General features: G+C 42.5%; 1 protein-coding gene and 1 long non-coding RNA gene across 4 annotated transcripts in view, besides 1 other annotated feature; one reads left to right on the top strand and one right to left on the bottom strand.

Moving 5' to 3' along the window:
- The window catches only part of LOC124904268 (uncharacterized), a 42,640-nt gene that overhangs the window by 2,528 nt on the left and 25,181 nt on the right, over positions 1-14,931 (bottom strand). The window contains exon 1 of one of the 2 annotated variants that reach the window (XR_007066313.1): positions 815-2,887. The exons of the other annotated variant lie outside the window; for it this stretch is intronic. This is a non-coding gene — a long non-coding RNA (uncharacterized LOC124904268). Of the gene's footprint in view, positions 1-814; positions 2,888-14,931 lie in introns of those variants that run through there. 2 annotated transcript variants of the gene reach the window in all.
- Positions 2,301-2,430: a silencer, noted in NCBI's record as "silent region_9364". NCBI's record gives its function as "represses an Ori minimal core promoter by ATAC-STARR-seq in GM12878 lymphoblastoid cells {active_cell/tissue: GM12878}" and the evidence as "EXISTENCE:reporter gene assay evidence [ECO:0000049][PMID:35858748]".
- The window catches only part of OSBPL1A (oxysterol binding protein like 1A), a 235,780-nt gene continuing 223,212 nt past the window's right edge, over positions 2,364-14,931 (top strand). The window contains exon 1 of one of the 2 annotated variants that reach the window (XM_017025530.2): positions 2,364-2,867. In XM_017025530.2, coding sequence (XP_016881019.1) covers positions 2,816-2,867 — 52 coding nt within the window. In that variant the 5' untranslated portion in view covers positions 2,364-2,815. The remainder of the gene's footprint in view (positions 2,868-14,931) is intronic. The other variant, NM_080597.4, reaches the window with a different exon arrangement.

The following is a 14,931-nucleotide window of genomic DNA, read 5'->3' as shown; positions in this document are numbered from 1 at the left end:
TACTTCTGCCAAATGTTTCTTAAAATAGAGTATGATATGACGGGGACAATCTAGTGATAGTTTTGTTATTCTAGAACTGCACTGCCCAATATGGTAACTGCTATCCACATGTGGCTATTTAAATTAAATAAAACTTGAAACCGTCAGTCACACTGGCCACATTTCAAGTACTCAATAGCCACATGTGGCTAGTGGCTACTGTACTGGACAAGGTAGAATTATAGAACATTTCTATCATCGCAGAAAGTTCCATTAGACACAGTGTTCTAGAATAATGAATTCTGTTATGCCATCATGGTGATTTTACCTGTACTAGCCGTCAATAATATAAATGCCCATGAGATATCTTTTCTGCATATTTTATGGAAATACCAAATAAAGTCCTTTAAAGATACAGTATAAATAGTAATGCTATCAAGATTGGAACTTCTCTTATTGATAACTGTAGTGATTACTACTTCATCCTCCTATTGACTGCAATCTGTTTTTCATTTGCAAACTGTAGAAGGGAGTTGCAAAGTGCAAGTTGTGAATTTAGGTAATTAAATCATCACAGAGAGAATGAAGGCTTTCATGGAATCATGGAAAATTATTTCAGTAGCCAATTATTATTGTCATTATTTCGGTAGTTTTATTTTGGCTATGAAGATGGTTCAAGGCTGGGTGTGGTGGCTCACACCTATAATCCCAGCACCTTGGGAGGCTGAAGTGGGTGGATCACCTGAGATCAGGAGTTTGAGATCAGACTGACAAACATAGTGAAACCCTATCTCTACTAAAAATACAAAAGTTAGCCGGGTATGGTGGCACGCACCTATAGTCCCAGCTACTTAGGAGGCTGAGGCAGGAGAATCGCTTGAACCTCGGAGGCAGAGGTTGCAGTGAGCTGAGATTGCACCACTGCACAAGAGTAAAACTCCATCTCAAAAAAAAAAAAAAAGATGGTTCAATATCCTTAGATAGTAAGCCCTGAGGTTTCTTCTTTTCCAGACAAATACAGCTGCTTTAGTTACCACACATTTTGCAGTTGAAGTATTGTGCTAGTAAAGTGCCTGCTTTGTTAATAAAAGATGATGCCAGCCTGAGATACACCAGCAGGATTGCTTGTGGTATCCAAAAACATCATTTCAAAAGATCTGCCATATGCTGTTTCACACATATCACAATGACCAAAAGGGCCTATTATAGGTTCTCAATACATGCTTCTAGACTTGATGGAAAAACTACAGTCCTTTTAAAAATGATACCTATTTATTACTTTTTCATTGCAAAAGAACATGTTCATTAAATACATTTAGAAAATTCAGGAAAGCAGAAATCAGTTTTCGTATGCTCGTAATTTCCTGTCTTTTTAGTTATGCAGAAATGCTTTTAAAAAGCAAAGCTGTGGCCTGCAGGGGTGACTCACGCCTGTAATCCCAACACTTTGGGAGGCCCAGGAGTTGGAGACCAGCCTGGGCAACATAGGGAGAGTCTGTCTCTACTAAAAATACAAAACTTGTCCGGGCGCGGCAGGGCGCGCCTGTAGTCCCAGTCCCTTGATTACCCGCCTGTAGTCCAGCTGAGGCCGGAGGATCGCTTGAACCCAGAAGACGATGCTGCAGTGAGCCGAGATCGCGCCACTACACTCCAGCTTGGGAGACAGAGTGAGACCTTGCCTCAAAAAAAGAAAAAAACAAAAACGGTGGAATTATACTAGAGTTTGAACCTTCACGTTATAGACTATTTGCTAACTCCTCTAGCTAGACGCCTTGTGCATGGAATCTGGAGGAGAGGAGGTGAGGAAATTTTGTAAATCCTTGTCTCACGCATATCTATTCTATAATGGTTACACCTGTATGGCATTTTAAGCGCTTCCTTTCACAGGTGAAAGTAAAAGGAGGTGTTTTTTTGTAAATTGTCTAATTTACATTGCCAATTAAGTTCCCACGGGTCGAGTTGCAGCCAAAGCAAAAAAGAAAAAAATCTGGGCAGCTGGATAACCTATTGCTTAATGACAGACTTCAGACTATTAACCCAGGACTTATATTTTGCCTGGGGACGCGAGTCTTCCACTGGCTCACACGGGCGGTTCCTTGTAGTCTCCGGGTAAGGCCTGCCACTTCTTCCCTCGGGGTGTGGTGGGAGGAGCGCGAAGGCTTTACGCGTCCCTAGTAGCTGGCAAAACCTGGAACCAGCGCCGGTGGCCCAGGCGGGACAGGAGCGGGCCGGGGGCGTGGGCAGGCCAGGCAGGGGCGGGGAGTGGGCGGGGAACGGGCGTGTCCCCGCTGCGGTCACGTGTCGGGAGGGATGCCAGCTCGCCAGGAGGATGCGCGTTCCAGGGGCGGGCTGCGGGGAGGGGCGGCGCCACCTCGCGCTCCGCCGTGGTCCCGGCGCCGGGTCCCGGAGACAGACGTTACGCGGGCTCGAGCGTCCTCGGGGAGTGCCAGCCAGAGTTGGTGACGACCACTTCCTCGACGTGGGGCGGGCGGACGGGAAGCCTGGGGTCGTGGCCACCGCCTCGGGAGCTCTGGGAGCCCGGGTGACCGCGTAGGTCAGTTTCTCGCGGCTGTCCACGCCTGGAGTTCGAGGCCGGTTCCCGCGCTGACGGGTTCCCGCCGGGCTGCGCTCGGGAGGTCTGTCCGCGCCTGGTTGGGGGTGGGCGCTCCCGTCCCGGGCGTCTCAGAGGATGGTCGGGTCGTGGCGCGGCGACGCAGGGCTGCAGCCGAGCTCGGCTTCCCGGCGGCCGCTGGCTGCTCCAGCGCTGCAGGAAGTTAGGCGTTAAAAGTAACAAGATGTTGGCGTTTGTTGCACTTCCCACTCGGGTGCCACGACCATGCTGGTGCCGCATGCATCCCCTACCAGATCTTCAGCTGCGTGCCTTCTCGGTACTTTCGTGTGTCCATGTGACTTTTTAATTTCCTCCTAACAAGAGGAGGATTGATGCACAATGGAAGTCACGCATTGTTCATGTGACCGTTTCCCAATGTACCGCGTGGTCGGTTCTACAAGCATGAACGAATATCCAAGGGAGATTCTGAAACTGAATGAGAGCGCAGCTGCACAATAGACTTTAACAATTCACTTATCCCGCTGCCCTAATGATTGGCAGGAGGCATTGAAAAGGGTTATTCTGATTTAGTATTAGTTTTCAGTTCAAGTTGTCGTTTTTAGGCAGACGGTATTGTGAAATGGAACTGTGGGCAGTGTGATATTCTTAGCTTAAATAAGGTTGCTTGAATGTTGCAAATGTGGCTATTAGGTGTCTGTGAATAGTTAATAATATAATTAAATCAGCTTTAAAATCGGTGATGTGTTTTCCCTGAAAACTTCAGTCTTTGCCCTGTAATAGGTGCATTCTGGATTTGGAGTTTGGAACCTCCTCACCTCTTTACTCAGCATCTGGGAAATAATTTGCAGATTCGTTTTGAGGGGTAGAAGTATTTGCAGTCTAACCCCGATACAATGAATTTTTTGCAGCAGTTTGATAGGTATAAATTCTGAACCACCCCCCTCCCTCCCCACCCCAAGCTGGAATTGTGAAGATTTCTTAATTACAGCATAGTAACAAAATCCACCTTTTAATTCCCTAATTCTAAACCACTAGGTGGGCTTTGTCTACAGTTTATAGGGGGAAAAGAGGAGAAAACTGTCAGTAACATTCCTTTCTTAAAATTTAACTATTCTTTTTCATTTCTCCCAGGCAGTGTAACTCTTCTCCAGCATTGAGCAACGGATAGTCAAAATAGGAGTTAACTGCCAAAGTTTGAGTAGATTAATCTGAAACATTTGTTATCTTAGTATTTTGTGAAGGTTGTTTATGAAAATGATACTTGCTAAATATCTCGTTGTGAATCAGCAGAAACTTATGGTGGGTGGCTAATTCTTCTCTCTGGAGGCTGCTCATTTTTGCATGTATTATTGTAGCCGACTTTGATTCAGAGCAGTCAGGTATGATTTCTCTGTCTCTTTTTTTTTTTTTTTAAATTGAGACAGAGTCTCGCTCTGTTGCCTAGGCTGGAGTGCAGTGGCGCGATCTCAGGCTCACTGCAACCTCTGCCTCCCGGGTTGAAGCAATTCTCCGGTCTCAGCCTCCCAAGTAGCTGGGATTACAAGCACATGCCACCATGCCCGGCTAATTTTTGTATTTTTAGTAGAGACGAGGTTTCACCATGTTGTTCAGGCTGGTCTCGAACTCCTGACCTTATGATCCGCCTGCCTCGGCCTCCCAAAGTGCTGGGATTTACAGGTGTGAGCCACAGATATTATTTCTATAAAAGTATTCCTGGCCGGGTGCCATGGCTCACGCCTGTAATCCCAGCACTTTGGGAGGCCGAGGCGGGCGGATCACTTGAGGTCAGGAGTTCGAGAGCAGCCTGGCCAAAATGATGAAACCCTGTCTCTACTAAAAATACAAAAATTAGCCGGGCGTGGTAGTGGGCGCCTGTAATTCCAGCCACTTGGGAGGCTGAGGCTGGAGAATCCCTTGAACCCAGGAGGCGGAGATGGTAAGTGAATGGAGATCGTGCTGTTGCACTGCAGCCTGGGCGACAAGAGCGAAACTCCGTCTCACAAAAAAAAGAAAAAAAAAAATTCTCCCCATCATTTCCTCAAAACAAGGGGAAATGATACTGTTTTAGAACCGACAATTAGGTTGAAGAATACAGCCAGTCTTTTTTGAGTAATAACATGGCACAATGCCGGTTAAATATTAATACATTACAAATTTTCTCCTTGTGGCTTTATTTTACTCAGAGATACATCTGTATATCTGATCATAATATTTTTAAGTGGAACTGTGTCAGTTTCTTACCTCTTGACATTACTGGAAGCTGAGCTTTTATACATCATATGTTTTCATTGAGAAAAGTAGTAGGCAGAAAGTAGAAATCAGCCAAATGAATAACTTAGTGGAGAAGAGAGAATATGATATCAAGTGCGTGTGAGAAACTTGATATCCTTCAGAACCTTGTCAGTTCTTCCAAGCTGAGTCTGAACTTTGGCAATCAGAGCTTTTTTGATGACCTAGCAAGTTCTCTGAATTTCCTAGAAAGAGGACAGGTTTTAGCACTGCAGTCACCAGCTTATACTAACAATTCATGAAGTTTAAGAAAAGACACTGTCAGGTAATCTGTATAGTGTATGTATATTTATGATTGTGGTGTCATATAAGTATCTTATGTGATGTTCTTGGTCTCTAGAAATGTTTTTCCTCACGTGGCCTCTGCCACTAATTCTGTGTTGGTACTGTCAGTATTAAGGGGGCTGTGTGAGGTGGGCTAGTATAAGAAATAGTTTTAATGCTATTACTAGGAAGATAAACTAGGTCGCTCACTTTACTTTTATTTATCAGCCTGCAAGTAGGAAATTACTGTATAGTGAAAGCAGTCTTTAACTGTACAATTTCGTATCATGTGACAATGGAAAGTAACCACATGTTTTTACTTTGTGTTTAAAGTTTTTCTTTAAAGAGGTATTTCTGTGATGCATAAATGGTCAGTATTATTATACATGAGTTTAATTGAGTTTGAAAGATAATTTTCAAATGTGAAATAATTGAAATGGGAAAATTTTAATGCATTTTTCTAAAATTTAGGGAATTTTGTCATTAAAAGGTAACAATCAGCCTCCTTGCTAGGATTTTTATTACTAAACTTGATTTGTTAAATTTGTAGGGTTCTCTGCTCTTCATACCTGCTCTGTTTTGAAACAGTAGTAAATAGTTTTCAGAATCTGTCAAATTGAAGTTCAAATCAGGGGTGCATCTAGGAATTAGTGCTTAATTGTTAAAGCAGCTAAAATTATAGCACCAAAGTTATTTTAAACAACTTCATTAAGCAAAGCTATGAAGCTTATTTAATTTTTACTAATTTTAAGAAACATTAAAATTTCCAACCGAATATGGGTAAGATAAATACCTGGTGATATGGTTGGTTTTTTATTATGTCCGTATGGTATCCAAGTTGGTGTGGGTATGGAATGGATATGAATAAGAGAAGGTAATGTAAATTTATCAAATATAAAGTAAATAATAATTTGGTATAAACATTTTATGATTTCAATGCTTTATAAACCATTAGATGACACATAATTGTGGCCAATTCTCCATCATTTCTCCTGTGGGAGATGAATGCTTTTTATTAGGGCACAAAAACTTATTGAGGAAGTTAGAGAAAAAGTTTCACTGAATTAAAAATTAAGTGATTAAAATTTTGTCTTATAACTTAAAACGATACAGGTTAGTGCTTCCCAAAATAGGCTTTATAATTTGCTCCTGTTTTCCTTAAATTGCCATGTTTTAGGTATTCTTTTCAGTTAATAAATAAAGCTTTTTAAAATGAGGCACTCAAAACATAATTCAGATTCAAATTCCTCAGTGCTTACACAGGAACACTAATGAGAATCAATGGCATTTAACTTTTGCAGCTGAATTGAATTTTATAAAATACATAGCAATGCCAGGTGCAGTGGCTCACACCTGTAATCCCAGCACTTTGGGAGGCCGAGATGGGCGGATCACGAGGTCAGGAGATGGAGACCATCCTGGCTAACACAGTGAAACCCCGGCTCTACTAAAAACTACAAAAAATTAGCCAGGCGTGGTGGCGGGCAGCTGTAGTCCCAGCTACTTGGGAGGCTGAGGCAGGAGAATGGTGTGAACCCGGGAAGAGGAGCTTGCAGTGAGCGGAGATCGTGCCACTGCACTCCAGCCTAGGCGACAGAGCGAGACTCCGTCTCAAAAAAAATAAAAATAAAAATAAATAAATAAAAATAAAATACGTTGCATTATTTCACCCCTTCTACATTCTGGCTGTGACTCTACTGTTAATACTTGGCAAGTAACTTTGCCTTTGGGCTTTTCAGTTGCTTCAGCTCTAGAATCAGAGTGTTAGATTAATGAATTCGTTTACCAATGTTCAGTTTCTAAAACAAGCAAAAAATGCATTTGTTTATGTCATCACAAATGTCAGTTTTCTGTATACATAATATGTGTATCTATGCACATGTGTGCATAATGTATACACATGTACATACATGTAGGTATATGATTGCATCAGAGAAATTACTGATTGCTAGCAACTAATCATAGTTAGAGCAAATAAGTATTTTTTTTTTGCCATTGCCATGTTTTTATGTAGTTACTTTAATCTTTAATACCTTGCTGGTATTAAAAGAATATAACGTCAGGAGAAAACACACCATTAAGCAGCTAACTACAGGCTGGGCGAGGTGGCTCATGCCTGTAATTCCAGCACGTTGGAAGGCAAGGCAGGATAATTCCTTAAGGCCAGGAGTTCGAGACCAGCCTGGGCAATGTAGCCAGACCACATCTCTATAAAAGATACAAAAATTAGCTGGGTATGGTGGCGTGCACCTGTGGTCCCAGCTACTCAGGAGGCCAAGATGGGAGGATTGCTTGAGTCCAGGAGTTTGAGGCTGCAGTGAGCCACGATTGTGCCACTGCACTCCATCCTGGGCAATTGACTGAGACCCTGTTTCAAAAAAGCAGCTAACTACTTTGGAGCGCAGGGCTAAGCACGGTACTGGTTTTTATGTTTTTAAGATTTAGTTTATAGGATGTGTTTGTTCATAGACATTTAATTTTTCTCATTCAAATTTCTAGCATACAATGTATTTTAAATATTAATGTAACATTCATAAAATCAGTATCTGAGAATTTAAAAACTAATCGCAACATATATTTTTAATAATTTTTGAATAGTCTCCCTTTGTCTTTATTAGAGTATAGGGCCGGGTGTGGTGGCTCACGCCTGTAATCTCAGCACTATGGGAGGCCGAGGTGGGCAGATCACCTGAAGTCAGGAGTTTGAGACCAGCCTGACCAACATGGAGAAACCCCATCTCTACTAAAAATATAAAATAGCCAGGCATGGTGGCACATGCTTGTAATCCCTGCTACTCGGGAGGCTGAGGCAGGAGAATCACTTGAACCCGGGAGGCGGAGGTTGCGGTGAACCGAGATGGCGCCATTGCACTCCAGCATGGGAAACAAGTGAAACTCCATCTCAAAAATAAAAAGAGTACAAATGCTGGCTGGATGCAGTGGCTCACGCCTGTAATCCCAGCACTTTGGGAGGCTGAGGTGGACAGATCGCTTGAACCTAGGAGTTTGAGACCAGCCTGGGCAACACGATGAAACCCTGACTCTACAAAAAATACGAAAATTAGCTGGGCATGGTGGCGTGTGCCTGTAGTCCCAGCTACTTGGGAGGCTGAGGTGGGAGGATCACTTGAGCCCAGGAGGTGAAGGTTGCAGTGAGCTGAGATTGTGCCACTGCACTCCAGCCTTAGTGACAGACCCTGTCTCAAAAAAAAAGAAAAAGTACAAATGCCATTTGGCAATTGTGCCAGTCGTATTTTAGATGCTTCCTGATTTTTTGTGTGTGATAAAATGTACATAACATCAAATTTGCCCTTTTAGGTTTTTTTGTTGTTGTCGTTTGTTTGTTTGTTTTTTAAAAAAGAGTTTCATTCTGTGGCCCAGAGCTGGAGTGCAGTGGCATGGTCTTAGCTCACTGCAGCCTTGAACTCCCGGGCTCAAGTAGTCCTCCTGCTTCAGCCTCCCAAGTAGCTGGATCTATAGGTGCGCACCATGACATTTGGTAATTAATTTTTTTTTTTTTTTTGTAGAGACTGGGGTCTTGCTGTGTTGCCCAGACTGGTCTTAAACTCCTGGTCTCAGGCTATCCTCCTGCCTCAGCCTCCCAAAGCAGTGGGGATTACAGGCATGAGCCATCACACCTGGCCTGTTTTAGCCATTGTTAAGTGTATTATTCAGTGGCATTGCATACATTCACATTGTAGTACAGCTATCACCACTGTCCATCCCCATGACCTTTTCCTCCATCCCAAACTGAAACTCTGTTCCTGTTAAACATTACTCCCTATTTCTTCCTCCCTTCTCCGAGCCACCGGCAACCACCATTCTATGTTTTGTCTGTATGACTTTGACTATTTTAGCTGTCTCATCTAAGTGGAATCATACCATATTTGTCCTTTTGTGAGTGATTTATTTCACTTAGCATGATGTATTCCAGGTTCGTCCATGTTCTAGCATGTGTCAGAATTTCCTTCCTCAATCGATTGAGACAGAGTCTTGCTTTGTCGCCCAGGCTGTAGTGCAAAGTGGTGGGATCTCGGCTCACTGCAACCCCTGCCTCCCGGGCTCAAGCCATTCTTGTGCTTCAGTCTCCCCAGTAGCTGGGACTACAGGCACGCACCGCCACACCAGGCTAATTTTTGTGTTTTTAGTAGAGACGGGGTTTCACCATGTTGGCCAGGCTGGTCTCGAGCTCCTGACCTTAGGTGATCCGCCCACCTCAACTTCCCAAAGTGCCGCGATTACAGCCGTGAGCCACTGCACCTGGCCAAAAAGTTACCTGAATCTGCTGAAATTTGGAGAGCAAGAGCATGGAAAATGAGAAACACAATATTTGGGATTTCAATTTTTTTTAATTTAATGACTTTTTTTTTTTTTTTTTTTTTTTTTTTTGAGACGGAGTCGCACTCTGTTGCCCAGGCTGAAGTAGAGTAGCACGATCTTGGCTCACTGCAACCTCTGCCTCCCAGGTTGAAGTGATTCTCCTGCCTCAGCCTCCCCAGTAGCTGGAATTACAGGCATGTGCCACCATGCCCAGCTAATTTTTGTATTTTTAATAGAGGTGGGGTTTCCGTGGTCTGTTGGCCAGGCTGGTCTCGAATTCCTGACCTCAAGTGATCGCCTGCCTTGGCCTCCCAAAGTCTTGGGATTATAGGCATGAGCCACCACGCCCATCCTTCCTTTTAAAGGCTAAATTATATTCCCTTGTATATGTCACGTTTTGTTTTTCCATTCATCTGTCAATGGACGTTTAGGTTACTTCTCCTATGAACATGGGAATACAAATATCTGTTTGATTCCTTGCTTTTAGTTCTTTTGGGTATATACCCAGAAGTAGAATTGCTGGATCATAGGTAATTATGTGTTTAATTTTTTTGAGGAACCCCCATACTTCTCTGATGTTTTAAGATTTACAGTTGCATGTTGTTATATGTATGACTAGGTGAATTGAGCCTGGATGTCTGAGATTTTAACTTTTCTAATACCTTTAAGAACTCTATTCCTGAAAAGGGCACATTGTTAAATATTTTCAGTTTCTGGCACTCAGGTGAATTGGCTCTTATTGTTGAATTTTATTATCTTTGATTTCTGTAGGAATTTTTATCTTGGTTCTATAGATTTTATTTTATTTTATTTTATTTTTTTGAGACAGAGTCTCACTCTGTCACCCAGGCTGGACTGCAGTGGTGCGATCTCGGGTCACTGCCAACTCTGCCTCCTGGGTTCAAGTGATTCTTGTACCTCAGCCTCCCCAGTAGCTGGGATTACAGGCATGCACCACCATACCTGGCTAAGTTTTGTATTTTTTAGTAAAGATGGGGTTTCGCTATGTTGGCCAGGGTGGTCTCAAACTTCTGGCCTCAAGTGATCTGCCCTCCCTGGCCTCCCAAAATGTTGGGAGTACAGGCGTGAGCCACCGCACCTGGCCAATTCTGTATATATTAAGCTGGAATTTTAAAGAAAAGTAGCAAGCAGTTCAAATGATAAAATAATAGACTCCAACCAAATTTAACAAGTCATCGCCCTTGGAGTTGTTAAGTTTTAAAATCTTTGTCAATATTTCAGAACTGTTGGGGCCATAGAACTTATCTACTATATTAAGTGGGGATTCAGTGGCATAGACTATCAAGTATGGTCACCAGTTTAAGTAATTTTATGATATTTATAAGGCAACAAAATATAAATTTTCTTTCCTCAAAAGAATTTAAAAATTAGAAGTCTAACTTTCCCTAGTGGACCTTGGAGGAGAGAAAACATAAGGCAAAAATGGTCTCTTATCTCCTGATTTTTGAAGCTCAAAATGTTTTCCATCTAATTATTTCCTGGAAAACATTCTCATGGCCATGAAAATCTCATTAATCTAAAAACAGAGCTTGGAATTGCGTGAATGTGAGAAGAGCAGCTGAAAAGTGGTCTTGAAAAATACCATGTGCGCTGATAGAAATGGCTGCAATCCATTGTGACCAGCTGCATTTGGGAATGCTTATCTTCTTCTTTTGGCTTAAACATCAGAGACAAAGCGCTTTTCTGGAATAAGCTCTCATGATTTGGAAGAATGTTTTTAAAAAATCTGTTCAACATATGAATTTAGATGATTCCTTAAAAAATCAATCTTGAAGTTTCTTCTAAATGTACCTTTTAGTCAGAAATTAATGGAAATTAAATAGTTTACGAATTAAAGATGCATCAAATTAAGAAAGTAGTTATCAACCTCAATCTGTGGGGGGGTGTTTTAAACAATTTCTCCCTTTTTTGTTATTTTTGGTTTTTTTTTTTTTTTTTTTTTGAGACAGAGTCTCACTCTTGTCGCCCAGACTGAAGTGCAGTGGCGCGATCTTGGCTCACTGCAGCCTCCACCTCCTGGGTTCAAGCGATTCTCCTGCTTCAGCTTCCTGAGTAGCTGGGATTACAGGTGCCCATCACCACGCCTGGCTAATTTTTGTACTTTTAGTAGAGACGGAGTTTCGCCATGTTGTCCAAGCTGCTCTCGAACTCCTGACCTCAGGTGATCCGCCCGCCTTGGCCTCCCAAAATGCTGGGATTACAGACAGGTGTGAGCCACTGGGTCTGGCAGTACAAATTTTTAAAAATGTGTTTCCCATGGCTTATTAGAAAAAAAAAACTGTTAATTTTATGTCACTAGATGTACCTTTTGTAAGGCATTGCCTGTAGACCTCCCTACAGGGAGACTGGATTACTTTGTTTTCAAAGGACTAAGTCCTCATCCATCCGCCCATCCATCCATCCGGTTAACTAATATTTGGTTGCCTACTGTGTTCTAGGCACCTTGCTAGGGATATAATAGGGGAACAGAATAGACACGAGGCACTTGTTCTCATCGAGTTTACAGTCTAGGGACAGCAAAATAAATGACCACACTGATACCCGTAGACTCATGTATTGTGGCAGGTTGCCATGAGGACTTATCAAGGAGCTCTAGGTGATATTGGAGATGGAGAGAGCAAGTCAGACCACTCTCCAGAAATGTGGATAGTAGTTTATTTGTACACTTGTCTTCCTTATAACATTTAAAAGTTCTCCTAGTGTAAGGCCTGGTTTTATTCATTAGTGGCATCGGAGTTTAGAACAATGCCTAGAATGTGGTAAGCCTTCAAGTCATTGGCTATCGATTCATCCCCTTGTGTGGTATTAGAATTAGGGAAGGCGATGCAGGCCTGGTGGCAACAGGGAAACTGCAGCTTCTGGTGGCTGTCATGTTGGACACCTGATGGTGGGATAACTACCTGAATGTTCACCTAAGGGTTAAGGTTTCAGATACTCATGGGCATTCTAGATATTCAAGTCTACATAGACAGCAGTGGACTTTCAGTCCACATTTAGTGGATGGTTCTTAGATGAGAAAAGAAATTGTGGGCTGGGTGCAGTGGCGCATGCCTGTAATCCCAGTGCTTTGAGAGGCCAAGATAGAGAATCACTTAAGCCCAGGAGTTTGAGATCAGCCAGGGCAACAAAGCGAGTCCCCATCTCTTTAAAAAAAATTGTGATGAATGGCTTTATTCCTTGGTTTGAAACATTTTATTAGTAGTTTCTTTCTTTGTAGTGTAGCTGAAAGGAATATAAAGATCATTTTATTATAATGATCTAATTAGTATTGCTGTCATTTTTAGGAGGTTTTCTCAATTTTTAAATTACAGATATTTCTGGAGTTGTGCTATTGTGCCTGGGTGTTAGAGCCACCGGGAAAGTATTTTGCTATAAAAAAATATTTTTGGGCTGGGCATGGTGGCTCATGCCTGTAATCCTAGCACTTTGGGAGACCAAGGCAGGTGGATCGCTTGAGCCCAGGATTCAAGACCAGCATGGGCAACATGGGGAAACCCTGCCTCTACAAAAAAATACAAAAATTAGCTGGGCATGGTGGTGTGTGCACCTGTAGTCTCAGCTACTCGGGAGACTGAGTTGAGAGGATCACCTGAGCCTGGGAGGTCAAGGCTGCAGTGAGCTGATTGTGCCACTGCACTCCAGCAGTGCAGGAAATATCTATATATGTATTTCAAAAATACATATTTCAGAAATATATATATTTCAAAAATATATATTTTTCAAATATATTTCAAATAGATATCTATTTGAAATAAATATATTTCAAAAAAGTATATATATGTTTTTGACATAGGGTCTCACTCTGTCACACAGGCCGGAGTGCAATGGTGTAATCATGGCTCACTGTAGCTTTGACCTCCCTGGCTTAAGCAATCTTTCCACCTCGGCTTCCTGAGTAACTGACTACAGGCGCATGCCACCACGCCCAGCTAATTTTTGTATTTTTGTAAAGATGGGGTCTTGATAGGTTGCCCAGGCTGGTCTCAAACTCCTGGGCTCAAGCGATCCACCTGGCTTGGCCTCCCAAAGTGCTGGGATTACAAACATGAGCCACCATGCCCGGCCTGTACTTCATTTTTATTAACTCATTTCCAAGAGGAGGTAAGAGAAGGTGCCAGTCTCCTCCCCACCCCTGCCATTCCTTTCTAAAGTTATAAAAGATTATAAGGGAAAAGCAGTGAAAATGCTTGTTAGCATTTTGGAATTTATCCTCTAGGTATTGCTTGTTTGGTTAAGTCTAAAGTTTCATAGTCAGAAAATCTTTAGAGTGTGGTTGGGCTGCACAACTAAACTAGTTCTGATGCATGTAATGTCAATTGCTTTGAACATGTAGTGTCAGATTGCTTGGAATATGTAGTATTAATTGCTTTGAACGTGAGAGAATGTCCAAATTGCTTTAAGAATATGATTTAGTCAAATGCCTGTCTTAAAACTGATATCTGTGGGCTTTAGGCACAAGGCAACGTGAGTTGTTGATTTTTCCTTTTCTTGGTGAAATTTAACTGGCTCTGTTCCTTTCTCTTTCTTAAAAACAATAAAACAATCTCTATGACTGTATTGACCCCGTGACCCATTTTTTTTCTCTCCTACCATCCTGTCTTATAGGAAGAGTCCTCTCTCCTCCTCAGGCACCTACAAATCTGTCCCTTTTCTTATTCTGGAAATTGGCAGTCATCAGATAGGAGCTCTCCCCCTGGCTCCCTGCCCCTTAACCATCCTCATCATGATCCTTGCCGTCTTTCCTGCCCGCCAGCCTTGGTGCAGTGCTTTCTTGGGCTTCAGGGCCATCCTTCTCTTGGGCTTCTCTTCTTCCTCAGCTCCTCAGCACCAAGGTTTGCCTCTCTTCCTGGCTCTTGCCTTACAATCTTTAAACATGCCCAGGTGTCTAATATCCTAAAAGTGAAGCTGTTACTTTCTCTTCAGAAGGAAGTTGCTTTAAAGGAGTCTGGTGCAGTCTCCTTTTTATCCCCCATTCACTCCTCTGTTTACCAAAACCTATGTTTTTGCCTGTCTGAATTCCACTGGAGATACTCTTGGAGCTCGTCAGTGGCCTTCTTCTATTTGCCAAAGCAGCTGGTGTTTTCAGGCCTTGTCTTTCTTGCCCTTTCTTTCGTACCCATCCCATTCCCTGAAACACATTCCTCCCTTGGTTTCAGCTGCTGCCACCCTCTTCTGTGTCCCCTCTCCACTCTTGGTCGTTTTTTGCCAGCTCCTCTTCCCTGGCCTCCTTTGCCTTAAATAAATGTTGCTTTTCTCCCATTGAGGGTTCTCATTTATTCCATTGATTTTAATGACCACTTATATGATGATAACTCCCACTATTTAAATTATTTTATTATTTATTTATTTTTAGAGACAGGATCTCCTTCTGTTACCCAGGTTGGAATATAGTGGTGCAATTATAGCTCACAGCAGCCTCGAACTCCTGGGCTCAGGCAGTCTTCCTGCCTCAGCCCCCTATGTAGCTGGTATTTAAATTCTAACCT

Source organism: Homo sapiens, chromosome 18 (assembly GCF_000001405.40).
Source record: "Homo sapiens chromosome 18, GRCh38.p14 Primary Assembly".
In the NCBI taxonomy this organism is placed as follows: domain Eukaryota; kingdom Metazoa; phylum Chordata; class Mammalia; order Primates; family Hominidae; genus Homo; species Homo sapiens.
This window is presented reverse-complemented; position numbering and strand designations above follow the sequence as displayed.